The following is an 18,295-nucleotide window of genomic DNA, read 5'->3' on the forward strand; positions in this document are numbered from 1 at the left end:
TTTTAAATTAGCCAGGCAAGGTGGTACAGGCCTGTAGTCTCACTACTCAGGAGGCAGAGGTACGAAGATGACTTGAGCCCAAGAGTGGAGGCTGCAGTGAGCTACTATGATCCTGCCACTGTCCTCCACCCTAGGCAACAAAGCAAGACCTTGCCTCTTTAAAAACAGCAACAACAGCAAAAACTATGGTGTGAGGTAGGAGATCCAGCTGCTTTCTTTTGCATGTGGATATTTAGTTGTCTCAGCACCATTTGTTGAAAAGATTTCTTCACTAATTTGTCCTGCAACCTTTGTGAAAAATTAATTTACAAATGCAAGAATGTATTTCTAGACTCTATTCTTACTCCATTGATCTCTGTCTTTAGGTCAGTACCATACTGTCTTGATAGCTAGCTGTCGTTTTGTATTTTTTGAAATTGGGAACTTGGGAGTGTAACTTTGTTCAAGATAATTTTGGGCATTCTGGGTTCCTTACATTTACATATAAATTTTTAAGAGTTGCTTGTCAATTTCTGCAGAAAGCAAGCTGGTATTTTCAGTAAGAATTGTGTTGTATCTATAGATGAGTTTGGGAAATATGGTCGTAATATCAAGTCTTTGGATCCATGAGCATAGGGATGTCTGTTTTTTTTTTGTTTTTTTTTTTTAAGGTCTGTCATTTCTTTCAACACTGGTTGTCAGTGTTCAAGTCTTGTGCTTCTTTTGTTATTGCATTTTTGGCGGGGGGAATATTTGTAATTGGAATAATTTTTTGTAACTTGAAATTGGCCTATTGGTGATATTTATTTATTTATTTATTTTTGAGACGGAGTCTCGCTCTTTCACCGCTATGACAGGCTGGAGTGCAGTGGCACGATCTCTGCTCACTGCAAGCTCCGCCTCTCGGGTTCACGCCATTCTCCTGCCTCAGCCTCCCCAGTAGCTGGGACCAGAGGCGCCTGCCACCATGCCCAGCTAATGTTTTTGTATTTTTAGTAGAGACAGGGTTTCACCATGTTAGCCAGGATGGTCTCGATCTCCTGACCTCGTGATCCACCCGCCTTGGCCTCCCAAAGTACTGGGATTACAGGCGTGAGCCACCGCGCCCGGCCTAGTGATATTTATTTTTAATTAAAATTTTTAGATTCAAGGTACATGTGCAGGTTTGTTATGTGGATTTAATGTGTGATGCTGAGGTTTGGGCTTCTGCTGATCCTGTCATCCAGATGATGAGTATAGATGATGAGTATAGTACTTCACAGATAGTTTTTCAGCCCTCGCCCCTCTTTCCCTCCCACTTTTTGGAGTGCCCAGTGTTTATTGTTCCCATCTTAATGGCTATGTGTACTCAGTGTTTAGCTCCTACTTACAAGTGAGAACAGACAGTATTTGGTTTTCTGGGTTAACTCACTTAGGATAATAGTCTCTGGCTGCATCCATTTTGCTGGAAAAGACATGATTTCATTCTTTTGCATGGCTGCGTAGTATCACATGGTGTATATATACCACATTTATTTTTGAGATAGGGTCTCACTCTGTCGCCCAGGCTGGAGTGCAGTGGTGCGATTTTGGCTCAGTGCAACCTCCACCTCCCAAGCTCAAGCCATCCTCCCACTTCAGCCTCCTTGTGAGTTCAGGCCATCCTCCCACCTCAGCCTCCTTGTAGCTGGAACTACAGATGCCCACCACGCCCAACTAATTTTTGTATTTTTCGTACAGATAAGGTCTCACCATGTTGCCCAGGCTGGTCTCGAATTCCTGGGCTCAAGTGATTCACCCACCTTGGCCTCCGAAAGTGCTGAGATTACAGGTGTGAGCCACCACGCCCGGCCACAATTTCTTTTTCTTGGGATATATACCCAGTAATGGGATCGCTGGGTTGAATGGTCATTCTGTTTTTAGTTTCTTGAGAAATCTCCAAACAGCTTTCCACGGGGGCTGAACTAGTTTACATTCTTGCCAGCAGTGTATAAGTGTTCCCCCCAGCCCCACCACCTTTTTTTTTTTTTTTTTCTTTTTTTTTGAGGCAGGATCTCAGTCTGTTGCCCAGGCTGGAACACAGTGGCATGATTATAGCTCATTGAGCCATGGCTTTCCAGGCTCTAGTGACCCTCCCACCTGAGCCTTCCAGGTTAGCTGGGACTGTAGGCACACACCACTATGACAGGCTCATTTTTAAATTTTTTCGTAGAGATGAGGTCTTACTATGTTGCCCTGGCTAGTAGTTGAATTCCTGGGCTCCAGTGATCCTCCCACCTCAGCTTCCCAAAGTGCTGGGATTACAAGCGTGAGCCACCGTGCCCAGCAATAATAGTCACTCTGACTGGTGTGAGATGACATCTCATTGTGGTTTTGATTTGCATCTCTCTACTAGTGATGTTGAGCATTTTTTCCTATGTTGACTACTTGATTGTTGTCTTTTGAGAAGTGTCTTTTCATACCCTTTGCCCACTTTTCAACAGTGATTTTGTGTGTGTGTTTGTGTGTGGATTTAAGTTCCTTATAGATTCTGGATATTAGTCCTTTGTTGAGTGCATAGTTTGCAATTATTTTCTCCAATTCTGTAGGTTGTCAGTTTACTCTGTTGATAGATTTCTTCTGCTGTGCAGAAACTCTTTCGTTTAACTAGGTCCCAATTGTCAAGTTATTTGTTGCATTTGCTTTTGAGGCTTAGTCATAAATTCTTTGCTTAGGGCAGTGTTGAGAAGAGTATTTCCTAGGTTTTCTTCTAGGATATTTACAGTTTGAGGCCTTACATTTAAGTCTTTAATTTGCCTTGAGTTAGGAATTCTTTTTTCAATTTCATTTTCAGATTGTTCTTTGCTAGCGTGTAGAAATAGTTTTTTACGTATTGATCTTGTAGTTTGCCATCTTGCTGAACTCATTAGTTAGTTTTAATAGTTTTTATGGGTTCCTTAAGATTTTCTATATACAAGATCATGCATTTGCAAATGAAAATGTTTTTACTTCTTTCTAGTCTGGATGCCCTTTATTTCTTGCCTAATTGCCCTGGTTAGAATCTCCAATACAACGTTGAAGTACCAAGAGCAGACATCCTTGTCTTACTGATCGTAGGGGAAAGCATCCAGTCCTTCACAGTGAAGTGTGACATAGGTGTGGGTCTCATAGGCGGGTGCCCTTTATCATGTTGAGGAAGCCTAGTTACAGCTGTAATATTTAGGTTGTCAGTATACTCTGGTGACCTTTCATGGTGTTTGTAAACTTATATGCAAATCAGAAATGATAGTTTGCTGGGTTACTAGGACCAGCAGGTCATTGAATTGGGTAAGATATAATTCTAAGGCATTTGCAACTATTATATGGAACATTTTGGAAAAGCATACCGTGACTGTATAACCTGGGCCAGATAAATAGGTATTTATTTTATTAAGACTATACACGTTGAGCCTTTTAAACTTCCACCTCTTTTAGAATTAGTAATCAAATTGACTGTGCAATCTAGCATTTAGCCTGATAATTCAGTTTTGTGAAAACTATAGAGTGAACTTTAATTCTGAATTTTTTCTTGTCAGTCGAAGGTACTATTTGCGTAGCCTGAAAGATTAAATGGCATAAATTGTGCTTTTAGACATGGTGACTTTTATATTTTCATTTACATTATGAAATTGGATGTGAAGGGGTTTTTCAGATGTGTTGGAAAACTGGAGAGTGTTGTAAACTAATTCGAAGCTGAAAATAAAAAAGTACTGACTTAACGATTTTGATATTTGCAGAAAGGAACAGACCTTTTTGTAGTCACTGTTTGGAATGTAAGGGTCATCTCCTGACTTTAAAATTCTTTGTCAGCTTTTGGAAGATATCTGGTAGGATGGTTCTGGCTGAACTTTTCAAAGACTAAGCTGGAATAGGTGGTTTTTTGAGGGAGATATGGAGAGAGAGTTTAAGGAAACTAATTTTTTTTTTTTTTTTTTTTTTTTTTTTTTTTTTTGAGATGGAATCTCACTCTGTCGCCCAGGCAGGAGTGCAAGGGCGTGATCTCAGCTCACTGCAACCTCCGCCTCCTGGGTTCAAGCGATTCTCCTGCCTCAGCCTCCCTAGTAGCAGGGATTACAAGTGCCCGCCACCACACCCGGCTAATTTTTGTATTTTTAGTAGAGACAGGGTTTCACCATGTTGGCCAGGCTGGTCTCGAACTCCTGGCCTCAAGTGATCCGCCCGCCTCAGCCTCCCAAAGTGCTGGAATTACAGGTGTGAGCCACCATGCCCAGCCAGGAAACTAAATTTTATATGTTGCTATACCAGCTAATCATTCCAAAGAGAAACTGGGTAAGCATACATAGCAAATGCTAATGTGAGTCTTAAGTATCTAGAACACAAGAGCCAAATGAAATTGATATGGCAAATAAAAACATGGAGAAAATAACCCGCACATAGGCTGTGCTCAGTGGCTCATGCCTGTAATCTCAGCACTTTTGGGGGAGGCCAAGGCATGCAGATCACTTGAGTCCAGGAGTTTGAGACCAGCCTGGGCAACATAGTAAAACCCCATCCCTACAAAAAATACAAAAATTAGCTAGGCGTGGTGGTGCGTACCTGTAGTCCCAACGACTTGAAAAGCTGAGGTGGGAGGATCACCTGAGCCCAGGAGGTCGAGGCTGTGGCAGTGAGCTGAAATTAAGCCACTGCACTCCAGCGTGGGCAACAGAGTGAGACCCTGACTCAAAAAAAAAAAAAAGAGAAAGTGACCCACATGTTCACCTCTTAAGAAGCCACAGTAATTCTACATTATCTTAAGGCCAAGAAAATATTTCTCCGGATGGATGGAAACCAAAAGTAGTGAAGTTGTACATAATCTTATAAGAAATGAACGTCATTGTTTTTAAGCTTTCTGTATTATCTGCTGACATGAAAGTGAATCAAGCTATAATAGCCTAAGTCATTTCTGTTTTCTTTTTTTCTTTTTCCTTTTTTTTTTTTAAAGTAGAGACGGGATTTTACCATGTTGGCCAGGCTGGTCTCGAACTCCTGACCTCAAGTGATCTGCCTCCCTTGGCCTCCCAAAGTGCTGGGATTACAGGCATGAACCACCGTGCCCGGCCATGGTTTTGTGGGATGTTTTTTTGAGACAAGGTCTCCCTGTATTACCCAGCCTAGTCTCAAACTCCTGGGCTCAAGGGATCCTCTTCCCTTGGCCTCCCAAAGTGCTGGGATTACAGGCATGAGCCACCATTCCCAGCTAGAAGTCTTAGTTTTAGAATTTTGGGGCTTCTAGTATATGCCGCAGGGGTTATTTATTGACTTCTTAAGAACACTGTTTTCAGGGTTGTTTAAAACAAACTTTATGTATCTTGGTAACCCAGGGTTGATGAATAGCACCAGGAAATAAATATTCTCAGATGACTTCTGTCTTGTAGTATATACTCTGGAGCGAATCATCTTTTAAGATTTAAGTAGTGGAAGCAACACAATCTTAAAATTGCATTTGCTTTAGCACTTGTACAGAAATTGATAATTTTATTTCCTAAAATGAAGACTTAATAGCCAACAGGGTGCCAGCAATTTCAAGATTTACTCGGGAATAAAAAGAATAATTCTTAAACTTGACAGCAATTTAAAGGAAGAAAACTTTCAATTTAAAGGAAGGAAACTTTTACTTCAGACAGTTAACATGCAGTACTGAGATTTAGTAGCAGGTATAAACTGCTTTTGAAGCAGTTGAGTAAAAGGCAGAGTTGTGAAATAGATGAGTGGATTCATATAAGAACCTGGATTATGATCCTAGTTCTGCATGACATTGGACTATGTACATTAACCTCTGCAGAATTAGGTAATTGGAGTACTGTTTCAAGGAGCTTTCTTGCTCTAAAAAGTGTGATTTAGATAGTATGGCCATGAGTCCATGTGGACTTTTTTTTGCTTTTAGAAAGCTGTTGGGGTTGGAATTGACTGGCTTTAAACATTTAGCAAACATTAAATGCTCTTTAACACAAAACAGAGTAGTCAGTCTGCTGTAGAGCAGAGGAGTTGGCATACTATCTTTGTGGGTTGGTTGGTTGGTTCGTTTGTTTATAGACATGAGGTCTCACTGTGTCACTCAGGCTGGTCTTGAACTCCTGGCCTCAAGTGATCCTCCTGCCTTAGCCTGTAATCCCAGGTCTTTGGGAGGCGGAGGCGGGTGGATCACAAGATCAGGAGTTCAAGACCAGCCTGGCCAAGATGGTGAAACCCCCGTCTCTACTAAAAATACAAAAATTAGCCGGGTGCAGTGGCAGGCACCCGTAACCCGTAATCCCAGCTACTCGGTAGGCCGAGGCAGGAGAATTACTTGAACCCAGGGGGCAGAGGTTGCAGTGAGCCAAGATCGCGCCACTGCACTCCAGCCTGGGGGACAGAGCGAGACTCCATCTCAAAAAAAAAAAAAAAAAAAAAAAAAAACGCTGGGATTATAAGTGTGAGCTATAGCGTCCAGCTAATATTTTGGGTTTTGTGGGCCACAACAATCTCTGTACCAAAGTCTTTTGTAAAATATGAAAAGAGAATTGTTTAAAAAAAAAAAAAAAAAGGTGTTGGCTGGGTGCAGTGGCTTATCCCTGCAATCCTAGCATTTTGGGAGGCCATGGCAGGAGGATCACTTGAGCCCAGGAGTTTGAGACCAGCCTGGGCAACATATTGAGACCTTGTCTTTACAAAAAAAGTTTTAAAAACTTGCATAGTGAGGCTGGGAGCCATGGCTCATGCCAGCACTTTGGGAGGCTGAGACGAGGTTCACTTGAGCTCAGGAGTTTGAGACCAGCCTGGGCAACATGGAAAGACCCCGTCTCTAAAAAAATAAAAAATGAAAATTTGCTGGGCATGTTGACGTGCTCCTGTAGTCCCTGCTTCTCGGGAGGCTGAGGTGGGAGGATCAGTTGAGCCTGGGAGGTCAGGGCTGCAGTGAGCTCAGATCGTGCCAGTATGCTCCAGCCTGGGTGACAGAGTGAGACAGAGTAAAACTCTGTCTCCCAAAAAAAGTTCGGGGGGTGGGGAGCCTTAAGATTTTGCACACTGCTTAGATCAATGTTTCTCTAACTTCATGTGTGCAGGAATTACCTGGGGATGTTGTTAAAATGTATGTTTTGATTGGTTCAGTCTGAAATGGGGCCTGATTATTCTGCATTTCTAATAAGCTCCCAGGTCAATAATTTGAGTAGCAAGGCTCTAGAGCAGATCTTAATCATTTCTAGATCACAGTCCCTTTGAGAATTAATGAAATTTATGGACTTTCTTCCCCAAAAACATATATTGAAAATCTTGTGTGCAACTTCAGGAGGTTCATTTGTCCTCCTCCTCAGAAAGTCCACCTCAGGATTCTAGCTATTTAGTTTTGAAAACTGAAGTACAGGCCGGGCATGGTGGCTCATGCCTGTAATCCCAGCAATTTAGGAGGCCAAGGCAGGCGGATCATTTGAGCCCAGGAGTTCGAGACCAGCCTGGCCAACACTGTGAAATCCCATCTTCACTAAAAATACAAAAATTACCCGGGTGTGGTGGTGGATGCCTGTAATCCTAGCTACTTGGGTGGCTGAGGCACGAGAATCGCCTAAACCCAGGAGATGGAAGCTGCAATGAGCCTAGATTGCACAACTGCATTCCACCCTGAGGGACAGAGCGAGACTCTGTTGCAAAAAAAAAAAAAAAAGAAAACAAAACAAAAAAGAAAAATTGCTTTAGTTGTTCTGTAAATCCTGGAAGCTATACCTCTGTTTCCAAAGCCAAGGTATAAATTATTACTCTAGAAAACGGATAAGCAGAAGAGCAAAATAGTCTAAAACAAAAATCAGCATAGAGAGTTTTTGAGTTTGAGAGCCCCTGAGCACTGTCAGAATAGCTAAGACATTAAGAACTGTGAGAAATGAGAGTTCTCCTCAACCATCAGACCATGATAGGCCAGTTGATCTTGAAGCCTGACCTGATTTCATGGGGCTGGCATTTCCTTCCTGATTTCCTGTAATCACCTCCTCTCTACTCCCCATGATTCAGTGGTAGTCACAGTACCAGGAAGTGCCAACCTTTTCATTCTTGCTACTGAGATGAAGATTTTGGAAAAAGGAGAAGAAACCATGTGGTTTGGGAACCACCTTTCCTTTTTTTTTTTTTTTTTTTTTTGATACGGAGTCGCTCTGTCGCCCAGGCTGGAGTGCAGTGGAATGATCTCGGCTCACTGCAAGCTCCGCCTCCTGGGTTCACGCCATTCTCCTGCCTCAGCCTCCCCGTTAGCTGTGACTACAGGCACCCACCACAATGTCCGGCTAATTTTTTGTATATTTTAGTAGAGATGGGGTTTCACCATGTTAGCCAGGCTGGTCTCAAACTCCTGACCTCAAGTGCTTCATCTGCCTTGGCCTCCCAAAGTGCTGGGATTACAGGTGTGAGCCACCGCTGCTGGCCATGGGAACCACCTTTCCTAAGCATTAACACCAAACCACCTAGATGGGCAGATTTAACTGTGACCAACTTTTATATTAAAAGATAATGGAACTTTTTTTTTTTTTTTTTTTTTTGAGACAAAGTCTCGGCTCTGTCACCCAGGCTGGAGAGCAGTGGTGCAATCTTGGACCACTGGAACCTCTGCCTCCTGGGTTCAAGCGATTCTTCTGCCTCAGCTTTCCCATTAGCTGGAATTACAGGTGTGCACCACCCCACCTGGCTATTTTGTATTTTTTTTTTAGTAGAGACGGGGTTTCACCATGTTGGCCAGGCTGGTCTTGAACTCCTGACCTCAAGAGATCCACCCACCGTCAGCCTCCCAAAGTGTTGGGATTACAGGCATGAGCCACTGTGCCCGGCCGATAATGGAACTTTTGAAAACCAAGGGCTTGGTGGCCGGGTACACTGGCTCATGCCTGTAATCCCAGCACTTTGGAGGCCGAGGCGGGCAGATCACCTGAGGTCAGGAGTTCGAGACTAGCCTGACCAACATGGAGAAACGCTGTCTCTACTAAAAATTCAAAATTAGCTGGGCATGGTAGCGCTTGCCTGTAATCCCAACTACTTGGGAGGCTGAGGCAAGAGAATCACTTGAACCCAGGAGGCAGAGTTTGTGCTGAGCTGATATCGTGCCATTGCACTCCAGCCTGGGCAGCAAGAGTGAAACTCTGTCTCAAAAAAAGAAAAAAAAAAAAAAAGTAAAACAAAGGGCTTGGCATTATCAGTGCCAGAAAAATACAAGATTGAGAGAATGGGGAAACAGGAGGGACATAAACTTGGTGGGAGTATACATTTGTATGCAAAAGTAAAAGATAACAGACGAAGATGTTAACCCTGTAACACCGTAAAAGGAAATGTTAGAAATAACTAGATAGCCATAAAAATAGAGGATGATTCATTTAGTTCATGGTATGGTTGTGAAATACTGTGGCCTTGAACAAGTACCTTTTAGTGTCTCATTTTCCTCATCTATAAACAGGGAGGGAGTAAAGATAATAGATCCCTCCTTAGAGTTGTGAAGATTGAATTAGTAACCTGTGAAGCTGTTCCAGCAGTACCTGGTCTAGAAATAATAGTCTCAAAATTTCATTGCTTATTATTACTATACAGCCACTTTTTAAAATGAGACAGGTATGTATAAATATAAAAGGTCTAATATTGTTTTAGTGAATGTTGTACATAAAGAGATGTCCAGAAAATCCAGAAGATACACTTTTTTTTTTTTTTTTTGGAAATGGAGTCTCGCTCTGTCGCCCAGGCTGGAGTGCAGTGGCATGATCTCAGCTCACTGCAAGCTCCGCCTCCTGGGTTCATGCCATTCTCCTGCCTCAGCCTCCCAAGTAGCTGGGACCACAGGCACCCGCCACCATGCCCGGCTAATTTTTTGTATTTTTAGTAGAGACGGGGTTTCACCATGTTAGCCAGGATGATCTCGTTCTCCTGACCTTGTGATCCGCCTGCCTCAGCCTTCCAGAGTGCTGGGATTACAGGCGTGAGCCATCGCGCCCGGCAATATACTGTTAACTGTATATATATCTGTTGAAAGAGGGGAAGAAGAATGGTGTTTGACCTTTTAAACGTGCATTTTTCTTTTGTGATAAAAATCTCTGTTGGTAGGTAGGCTGGAGTACTCTAACATTGCTTAGTGCATGGTTGCCTTTGCAACATCTAATGAATTGGTTACCTTTCTACCCCCATAACTCTAGTAACTGGAAACTTGCTTAATGATCAGTGTCATTTTTTTAGTCAGTTCATTATAAAATATTCCTTATGAGCTAAAATATATTTTGTCTGTTGTGTATGTTAGCTTTTTTAATTTGGAGCCACATAGAAATCTGATTTATCACCAGTTTAGATCTGAAGGGGAGCTTATGAAACCTTATTTTAGGGGATGAGAAGACTAAAACTCAGAGTTTGTAACTTATCCAGGAGCATGTGGCAGTTTGTGGCAGTACTAGGACTGTCAAATGTTAGCAGTATAGCGTATCCTAAAATTTTTATTTTTGGCCGGGTGCGGTGGCTCACGCCTGTAATCCCAGCACTTTGGGAGGCCTAGGTGGGTGGATCACTTGAGGTTGGGAGTTCGAGACCAGCCTGGCCAACGTGGTGAAACCCCATCTCTACTAAAAATACAAAACTTAGCCGGCCGCATCGGCACACGCCTGTAGTCCCAGGTATTTGGGAGGGAGGCAGGAGAATTGCTTGAACCCAGGAGGCGGGGGTTGCAGTGAGCTGAGATCACGCCACTGTGCTCCAGCCTGGGTGACAGAGCAAACAAACAAAATTAGCTTGGTGTGGTGGTGGGCACCTGTAATCCCAGCTACTCGGGAGGCTGAGGCAGGAAAATCGCCTGAACCTGGGAGGTGGAGGTTACAGTGAGCCGAGATCATGCCACTGCACTCCAGCCTGGGCAACAAAGCTAGTCTCCATCTCAAAAAGTAAAATAAAATAAAATGTTTATTTCCAAGTTAGTCTTAGCATTTGTTTCAAACGCTTTACCATCTTGGTAGTTCTCTTTGGTACCCAGATTGAATGCAGTTATGTAAATGGAGTCTGGTTGTCATTCTAGACATTTTTTGTCTTCTGACAGTCTATGGAAATTTCTTTGGCAGTCTTAATTACTCTACCAGCTAAAACTACAGTCTTTCTTAGGTGTTCTTCCCATCCCCCCATTCCTAAATTTCTAGACTTTTACTGGCATAGATTATTTTGGTTTTAGTCTAAACGTAGAATTTAAGCAACTACCATTATTGAACCTCATTTAGCTTAACCAAAGCTGTTATCTCTTTGGACCCTGATTTTTTATTGTTTCTAGCTTCGTGATGTTCTTCAACTTGGTAATTAGAAGTCTTTTGCTACATGTATACTAAAGGAAATATGTGTGCCAAATGCTTTATTCATTGACAGATATTTTATTTGACACCCACTGTGTGCCAGGTATAGTGGTAGGGCTAGGAAATCAGTGATGTCTGAGTGACTCTGCCTTTATGGAGCTTTTGGTTTTAGTGGGGAAGATTCATGAAGACCATGCGAGTGTAAGGAAAGGACAGGATGCTCTGTGGGCACACAGTGAGGGATGCCAGCCTAATCTGGGAGTTAGAGGAAAGCCTTACTATTTATGGGAGAAGAAAGGGTATGTGAAGGCCCAGAAACAAGTTAGAGGAACTGAAGAGCATAGTGTGTGATGCTCAGAGGGAGGTGAGAGGGTGACAGGCAAACAGCACTTGGGTCATGGAGGCTGTTATAAGCCCGGGTTGGGATGCCAAAGAAGCTGTTGAAAGATTTTAAAACAGGAGGAGATCACGTTTGCCATTTTAAAGACAGTACTGTCTAAGAAACAGATTGGGAGCAAACCACAGTAGTATAATGGGGTATTGTGTAATGTTCCTTCCCTGTTCACCGTGAGGCCTGGAAGTAGTTTAAAGTAGTCAAGTAGAGCTTCTCAAATGAAGAATTTCATTCAGTCTCTGCTAAACTACAAAATTTATGACTCAAATTGGAAACACGGTGAAAATTTTGAGTCACAGTTAAATGTTTAAGTAGTTTAAGATAAATCTGTTATGCCTTGTGTTTCCTAGGAGCCATTTAGATTCAAAAACAACAGTGGCATTTAGAAGGTAATTTCTGGTCTTAAATAGTGTTTTTCTTATAAAAGATTTTAATAACTGGTGTTTGCCACAATAAATTAGGTTTTTAAAATGCATAATACAATTGATTAATAAAAAGGATTTTTTAAAAAAATAATGCTGATTTTTGGTTTGTTTGGGTTTTTTTTGAGATGGAGTCTCACTGTGTCACCCAGGCTGGAGTGCAGTGGCGCAATCTCAGCTCACTGCAACCTCAGCCTCCAAGTAGCTACAATTATAGGCGCCCGCCACCATGCCGGGCTAATTTTTATATTTTTAGTAGAGACGGAGTTTCACCATGTTGGCCAGGCTGGTCTCAAACTCCTGACCTCAAATGCTTCGTCCGCCTTGGCCTCCCAAAGTGCTGGGATTACAGGTGTGAGCCACCATGCCCGGCTTGAATAATGGTAGTTTTAACCATCAGTATTTATATTTGACATAAGTGGTACAAATAATGTTTCAGTATCATGGCTTATAAACGTTTGCATGGAGTTCTAAAACGTGGCAAACTGATAATTTAATGAACTCTTACTTGAACTCTTGTGCAAGTATACTGTGAGGATTTTGTTCTGATTGGAAATCTTTATTGTAATAGCAAATTAAAGAGCTGTGGATTTTCAAGAGCTGAATTTGAAAGGTGTCAGATGTTAAATGGAAGGTAATTCAGAGTTTATTCTTTTATTGTACCTGCCTCCACCCAAAGAGTCAGAGAAAAACATTTGGAAGAAAAAATTGCAGAGCATCCCTTTGGCAAGAGTAAGAATTTTCCACTACCACTTGCCCTAAGAGCATTGACATGCCTCACCAGGGAAATGTTACAGGATGTGATCATCGGAACAGCCTAGCCTGCTCTTCATGCACAAAATCCTTTGTCTGAAATTCACAGAAGCCTCTCCAGACAAAGGGAAATTGTTGTGTCTTCACTTGAAAAGTATTCGGTGGACCTTTACTTTCATGAACCTTTTAACTCTAAGAACCTGTTTTCCTAATAGAGTCAACCCTAAATTGACTCTGATATCAACAAAAGGAATGTAACAGTCACACAGCAAGTTAAACAAAGGTTTTCATTAATTGAGCTTCCTTAGAGAAGGCTACTTTTACTTCCTAGCCTGAGTTCCTGTGCATAAAATGAAGAGGACATTGGTTGGTCAAGATGATGTGATGGTCCCTCTAGCTAAGAAAATACTAGAATATGGCAGGTTCGTTGGTTTGTTTTTGAGATGGAGTCTCGCCCTTTCACCCAGGCTGGAGTGGCGCAACTTCGGCTCACTGCAACCTCCGCCTCCAAGGCTCAAGCGATAGTCTTGCTTTAGCCTCCCAAGTAGCTGGGATTGCAGGCACCCACCACCACACCCGGCTAATTTTTGTATTTTTAGTAGAGATGGGGTTTCATCATCTTGGCCAGGCTGGTCTTGAACTCCTGACCTCAGGTGATCTGCCTGTCTCAGCTTCCCAAAGTTCTGGGATTACAGGCATAAGCCACCGTGCCCAGTCTATGGCAGGTTTTTTGGATTTATGTTTCTTCAATATCTTTCTACAAAGATCAGTTTCTAATAGAAGCCAATTAAACATAGAAACTCTAAGGTAGCATATTTCCCAAGTGTTGGGAGGCTTTGGAGCTTTTTAGCTTCGAGTTGGTGTGCCTGATAGATGAGAAACAGCACAACAGAAAAGCTGTTCATAGGATCCATGACTCTAGCTATTGCATTTTTTCTCTTGCATTAATTTTTCTAGTGTATTTGTAAAACCTTTTTAAAAATATGGATTCTTAATTTTAAAATTAACCTGGTGCAATGGCACATGCCCGTAGTCCTAGTTACTTGGGAGGCTGAGGTGGGAAGATGACTTGAGCCCAGGAGTTCAAGGCTGTAGTTCACCGTGATCACGCCAGTATACTCCAGCCTGGGTGACAGAGTGAGACCCTGTCTGTAAGAATAAAAAATGAAAAAAAAAAAAAAAAAAAAAAAGTGGATTCCTAGACCCCACTCCAAATGCATTTAATCATACTCTTAAAGAATCTGTAAAAGATCTCCAGATAACTCTTCTTGTCGTTTCTAAATATTTAATTGCCACTTGATTAGAATGGAAGTTGTAAGATGGAAACATTTAGAACAGCTGTGGTCAGTATTTAAGGGTTTCCCAGGCATTTGACATTTGTTCCTCTAGCATTTGACATTTAAGGTATTCCTCAGTATTTGGCCAAAAGTTAAATGTGTATCAATACAGTTTCTGCACAGCAAAGAAACACCTTTCATATATTTTAGTAGACCTTTATAAAGGGAAAGAGTACATGTTGGTTTCCTTATAATGCCAGTATAAATATAATCTTTCATATACATAATATATACTATATTATATATTAATACTATATATAATAAATCTATACTACACATATTGTATATTTATACTATAGGACCAATAGGTAAGACCTATAGTCCTGTACTACCTGTTGGTCCTGTAGGTGTATCTATTAGTGTTAGGTAGGACCATTACTAAATACAGTGTGTATATATACTAAATATGTATATTTAGTATTGGTCCTACCTAATACTGTTAGATAACGATTGGATATCCCTAATCTGAAAAGCTCAAAGATCAGAAACTTTTTGAGCACCAACATGATGCTCAAGGGAAATACTTACTGGAGCATTTCAGATTTTGAGTTTTTTGTGTAGAGATGTTCAACAGTAAGAATATAAATCAAACACTCCAAATTTTAATTTTAAAATACTGTTTCCAAGCATTTTGGGTAAGGGATACTCAACCTGTAATATGTTGGCAGTGTTACCCAGGAAATTTAACCTTGGTATTTCTTACCTGAAAAATACATTTTCTATTTATTTCAAATCCTCTGAGCTTCCACTGAAACACAGCAAAACACATGCCAAAACATTGCTTTTGTATCCTCTTGTAGGTTGTACTCAATTTAAATATTAGATTTGTTGACCTTTTAAAATTTGTCAAGTATATGAGAGTATGAGCTAGGGTTTATATATTGAATTGTTTAAGTCTGTTCAGCAGTTACAATGCAGAAGTAAAATAGTGCTTATAGATTGACGACCGCTATCTCACATTGGACAGAAGTCTTCTACTCCATAGGATCATGACATTGACGTAAATCAAATCCTCAGACACCAAAGGAACATTTGGAAATAAATTTTCCATTTAGGGTCATAATATTCATCATTGAACTTGTCCTCTTTTTGAAATGTTCGAGGGCATGTAGGATCAGGTTAATCATGACAGGCAGAAATAGTGCAGTATAGGGCATGTTAGCTGTTAAAGACCACTAAAGTTTAGAATATAGTTACTTTGTTGTCTTAAATCATCTGTTAGATGTACTCTCTTCAATGTAGTTAGAGCAGAATTATATTAAAATGAAAGGTTCTCGTTGATTCAGTCTGAATATTGCTGTTCATTGCACAAGCATTTCCAGCAGGAATTTCACCTTAGCTTGTGTGTCCCTGCAGTCAAATGCAAGGGTGATCTTTGCCTGTTGAGATTATATATTGACAAACTGTGCCGCCTTGTGACCACATTGCTTACTTAGGCTATAGCATTGTTTTTATGCACTCAAATTAAAAAAGTAAACCATATTCTCCCTGAACTTAAGCTCCGAAGTAGAGAAAAATCAGAACTAATTTGAAGGTTTAAGAAGTTCAGTGTTGGCTGGGTGCAGTGGCTCACGCCTGTAATCTCAGCATTTTGGGAGGCAAGGCAGGTGGATGCCTGAGGTCAGGAGTTTGAGATCAGTCTGGCTAACATAGTGAAACGCTATCTCTACTAAAAATACAAAAATGAGGCTGGTTGTGGTGGCGCACGCCTGTAGTCCCGGTTGATCAGGAGGCTGAGGCAGGGGAATCGCTTGAACCCGGGAGGTGGAGGTTGCAGTGAGCTGAGATCATGCCACTGCACTCCAGTCTGGGTGATAGAGCAAGACTCTGTCTCTGAAAAGAAAATAAAAAATAAGAAATTCAATGTTTACTTCTTGGACAGGAGTGCTATTTTGCCATTTTGTATATGACTGGTAACATGCAATTCAGTATAGAGAGTAAGTCTGAAAAATGATTTGATTTTAAAATGCCATCTGCAAGTATGGGAGAATTTTCTTATGTAATTTGTAGCTGCCCTTTCGTAAGACTTACAAACCACCTTAATTATCTTTCAGAAAATCACGGACAGCTGTTTTGTTGTTATTATTGTTGTTTTGAGACAAAGTCTCGCTCTGTCTCCAAAGCTGGAATGTAGTGGTGTGAACTCGGCTCACTGCAACCGTCTGAGTAGCTGAGACTACAGGCACACTACCATTCCTCCCAGCTAATTTTTTATATTTTTAGTAGAGACAGGTTTTCGCCATGTTGGCCAGACTGGTCTCGAACTCCTAGCTTCGAGTGATCCTCCCGCCTCAGCCTCCCAAAGTGTTGGGATTAACGGACAGCTGTTTTAATGTCCAGCTGCTTTGTGTGATTGTGCCACTCATTCAGCAGTATTTGAATACCAGCAGAGGGCTGGGCACTATTCTCAAGGTGCATGGCTTTGTCTGTTACTTGGGCTATGTTGTGGAATTTCACTTTGTACACACATCAAGGAAAGGGGCTGAGATTTGGGCCTTTTAAGAGCTATTAAAGTAACTTGTTGGCCTAGGAAAGAAGACTCAGTTGACTTAAAGATCTTCAGGTTATGCAAGAGGTTTATTATTCATTTAATTGATATTTCTTTTTTTTTTTATGAGACGGAGTCTCGCTCTGCCGCCCAGGCTGGAGTGCAGTGGCGCGATCTCAGCTCACTGCAAGCTCCGCCTCCCGGGTTCACGCCATTCTCCTGCCTCAGCCTCCCATTAATTGATATTTCAAAAAGTATCAAAGGATATATGCCCCAGCTGTGCAGTGTTACTAGTTTGCTACACCTTCCCAGAGGTGTTTCTTTATACCATTGGAAGTTGTCATTTTAGTATGAATTAATTACATGTTATACGAGCATATCAAAGGGTTTGAAACAGTGAAAGAGCTAAGATTAACTTGGAAATAAACATTTTATTTTATTTTACTTTTTGAGATGGAGACTAGCTTTGTTTCCCAGGTGGTGTGCACCTGTAGTCCTTCTGCTTGGGAAGCTGAAGTGGGAGGTCAAGGGTGCAGTGAGCTGTGATTGCCTCACTGATCTCTACATCCTGGGTGACAGAGCAAGGCCCTGTCTCAAAAAAAAAAAGTGGTGTTACTGTGTAGTTTTATTTTGCATTTGCCATGTGTTTCGTTAATTGAATATCTTTTTAAAGGGGGCCATTTGCTTCCTGTTCACAATAATTTAGCTTTTTTGATGGAATGAATCATGGCATATACAACTTTATTCTCTTTGCTGTGCCTTGTGTATATGTAGTAAGACTTTTACTTACTGCTAAGTAGGAAAGTATTCTTTAAAGTGAAAGCTTGAAGGCCTGTCTGAAGATACAGAGCAAAATTTCTTAGAATAATGTAGTTAGGTTTCCTTAAGCCTCATTCTCTTCCTTCCTAATTCAAATCTTGAATCCATCTAAAGTTTTTTATGACTCCAAGATAGGTTGATCACTTTGCTTGTTTTAACTGAATTTTATGTATTTGTGTTATATGCAGATCATTTATTTTCTTTAAAAATTGATTTGGAGACAAATTCATCTTTAGATAACATAGTTTTAAAAGTTGCTCATTTCAGCCGCCTTTTTTTTCTCCTAATTAGTTGGTGACAAAGTTCCTGCTGATATAAGGTTAACTTCCATCAAATCTACCACACTAAGAGTTGACCAGTCAATTCTCACAGGTAAATATGATATATTAAGTCATTGAATTTCTGAAGACCTTCGCATATTCCATGCCAATAGAGTTGGCTCTTGCCTCACTGTCCCTTTATGGTATCCCATCTTAATCCTCTCTAAGATACTTATTTCTTAGTGCTTTAGTCTCGCTCCATTGCCCAGGCTGGAGTGCAGTGGCGTGATTGCGGCTCACTGCAGCCTCCGCCTCTCAGGTTCAGGCAGTTCTCCTGTCTCAGCCTCCCAAGTAGCTGGGACTACAGGCTCCTGCCACCATGCCCAGCTAATTTTTGTATTTTTATTAGAGATGGGGTTTTACCTTGTTGGTCAGGCTGGTCTTGAACTCCTGACCTCAGGTAATCCACCTGCCTCGGCCTCCCAAAGTGCTGGGATTACAGGCGTGAACCACTGCACCTGGCTGCCGATACGGTTTTAAAGGCATGATTTAAAAACAAAACAAAATGGCTGGGCACGGTGG

The 18,295-nt window shown here is 41.4% G+C and overlaps 1 protein-coding gene across 6 annotated transcripts in view, besides 2 other annotated features; it reads left to right on the forward strand.

Moving 5' to 3' along the window:
- The window catches only part of ATP2A2 (ATPase sarcoplasmic/endoplasmic reticulum Ca2+ transporting 2), a 70,478-nt gene that overhangs the window by 24,632 nt on the left and 27,551 nt on the right, over window positions 1-18,295 (forward strand). For all 6 annotated transcript variants that reach the window (NM_001413015.1, NM_170665.4, XM_011538402.4 and 3 more), the window contains one exon: window positions 17,745-17,825. In NM_001413015.1, the coding sequence (NP_001399944.1) occupies window positions 17,745-17,825 (81 nt within the window). The remainder of the gene's footprint in view (window positions 1-17,744; window positions 17,826-18,295) is intronic.
- Window positions 9,386-9,465: an enhancer, noted in NCBI's record as "active region_6999". NCBI's record gives its function as "activates an Ori minimal core promoter by ATAC-STARR-seq in GM12878 lymphoblastoid cells {active_cell/tissue: GM12878}" and the evidence as "EXISTENCE:reporter gene assay evidence [ECO:0000049][PMID:35858748]".
- Window positions 15,377-15,671: a silencer, noted in NCBI's record as "tiled region #3729; HepG2 Repressive DNase matched - State 14:Gen5', and K562 Repressive non-DNase unmatched - State 17:Gen3'". NCBI's record gives its function as "represses a minimal TATA promoter and a strong SV40 promoter by Sharpr-MPRA in HepG2 and K562 cells {active_cell/tissue: HepG2 | K562}" and the evidence as "EXISTENCE:reporter gene assay evidence [ECO:0000049][PMID:27701403]".

This window comes from Homo sapiens, chromosome 12 (assembly GCF_000001405.40).
Source record: "Homo sapiens chromosome 12, GRCh38.p14 Primary Assembly".
Lineage (NCBI taxonomy): Eukaryota > Metazoa > Chordata > Mammalia > Primates > Hominidae > Homo > Homo sapiens.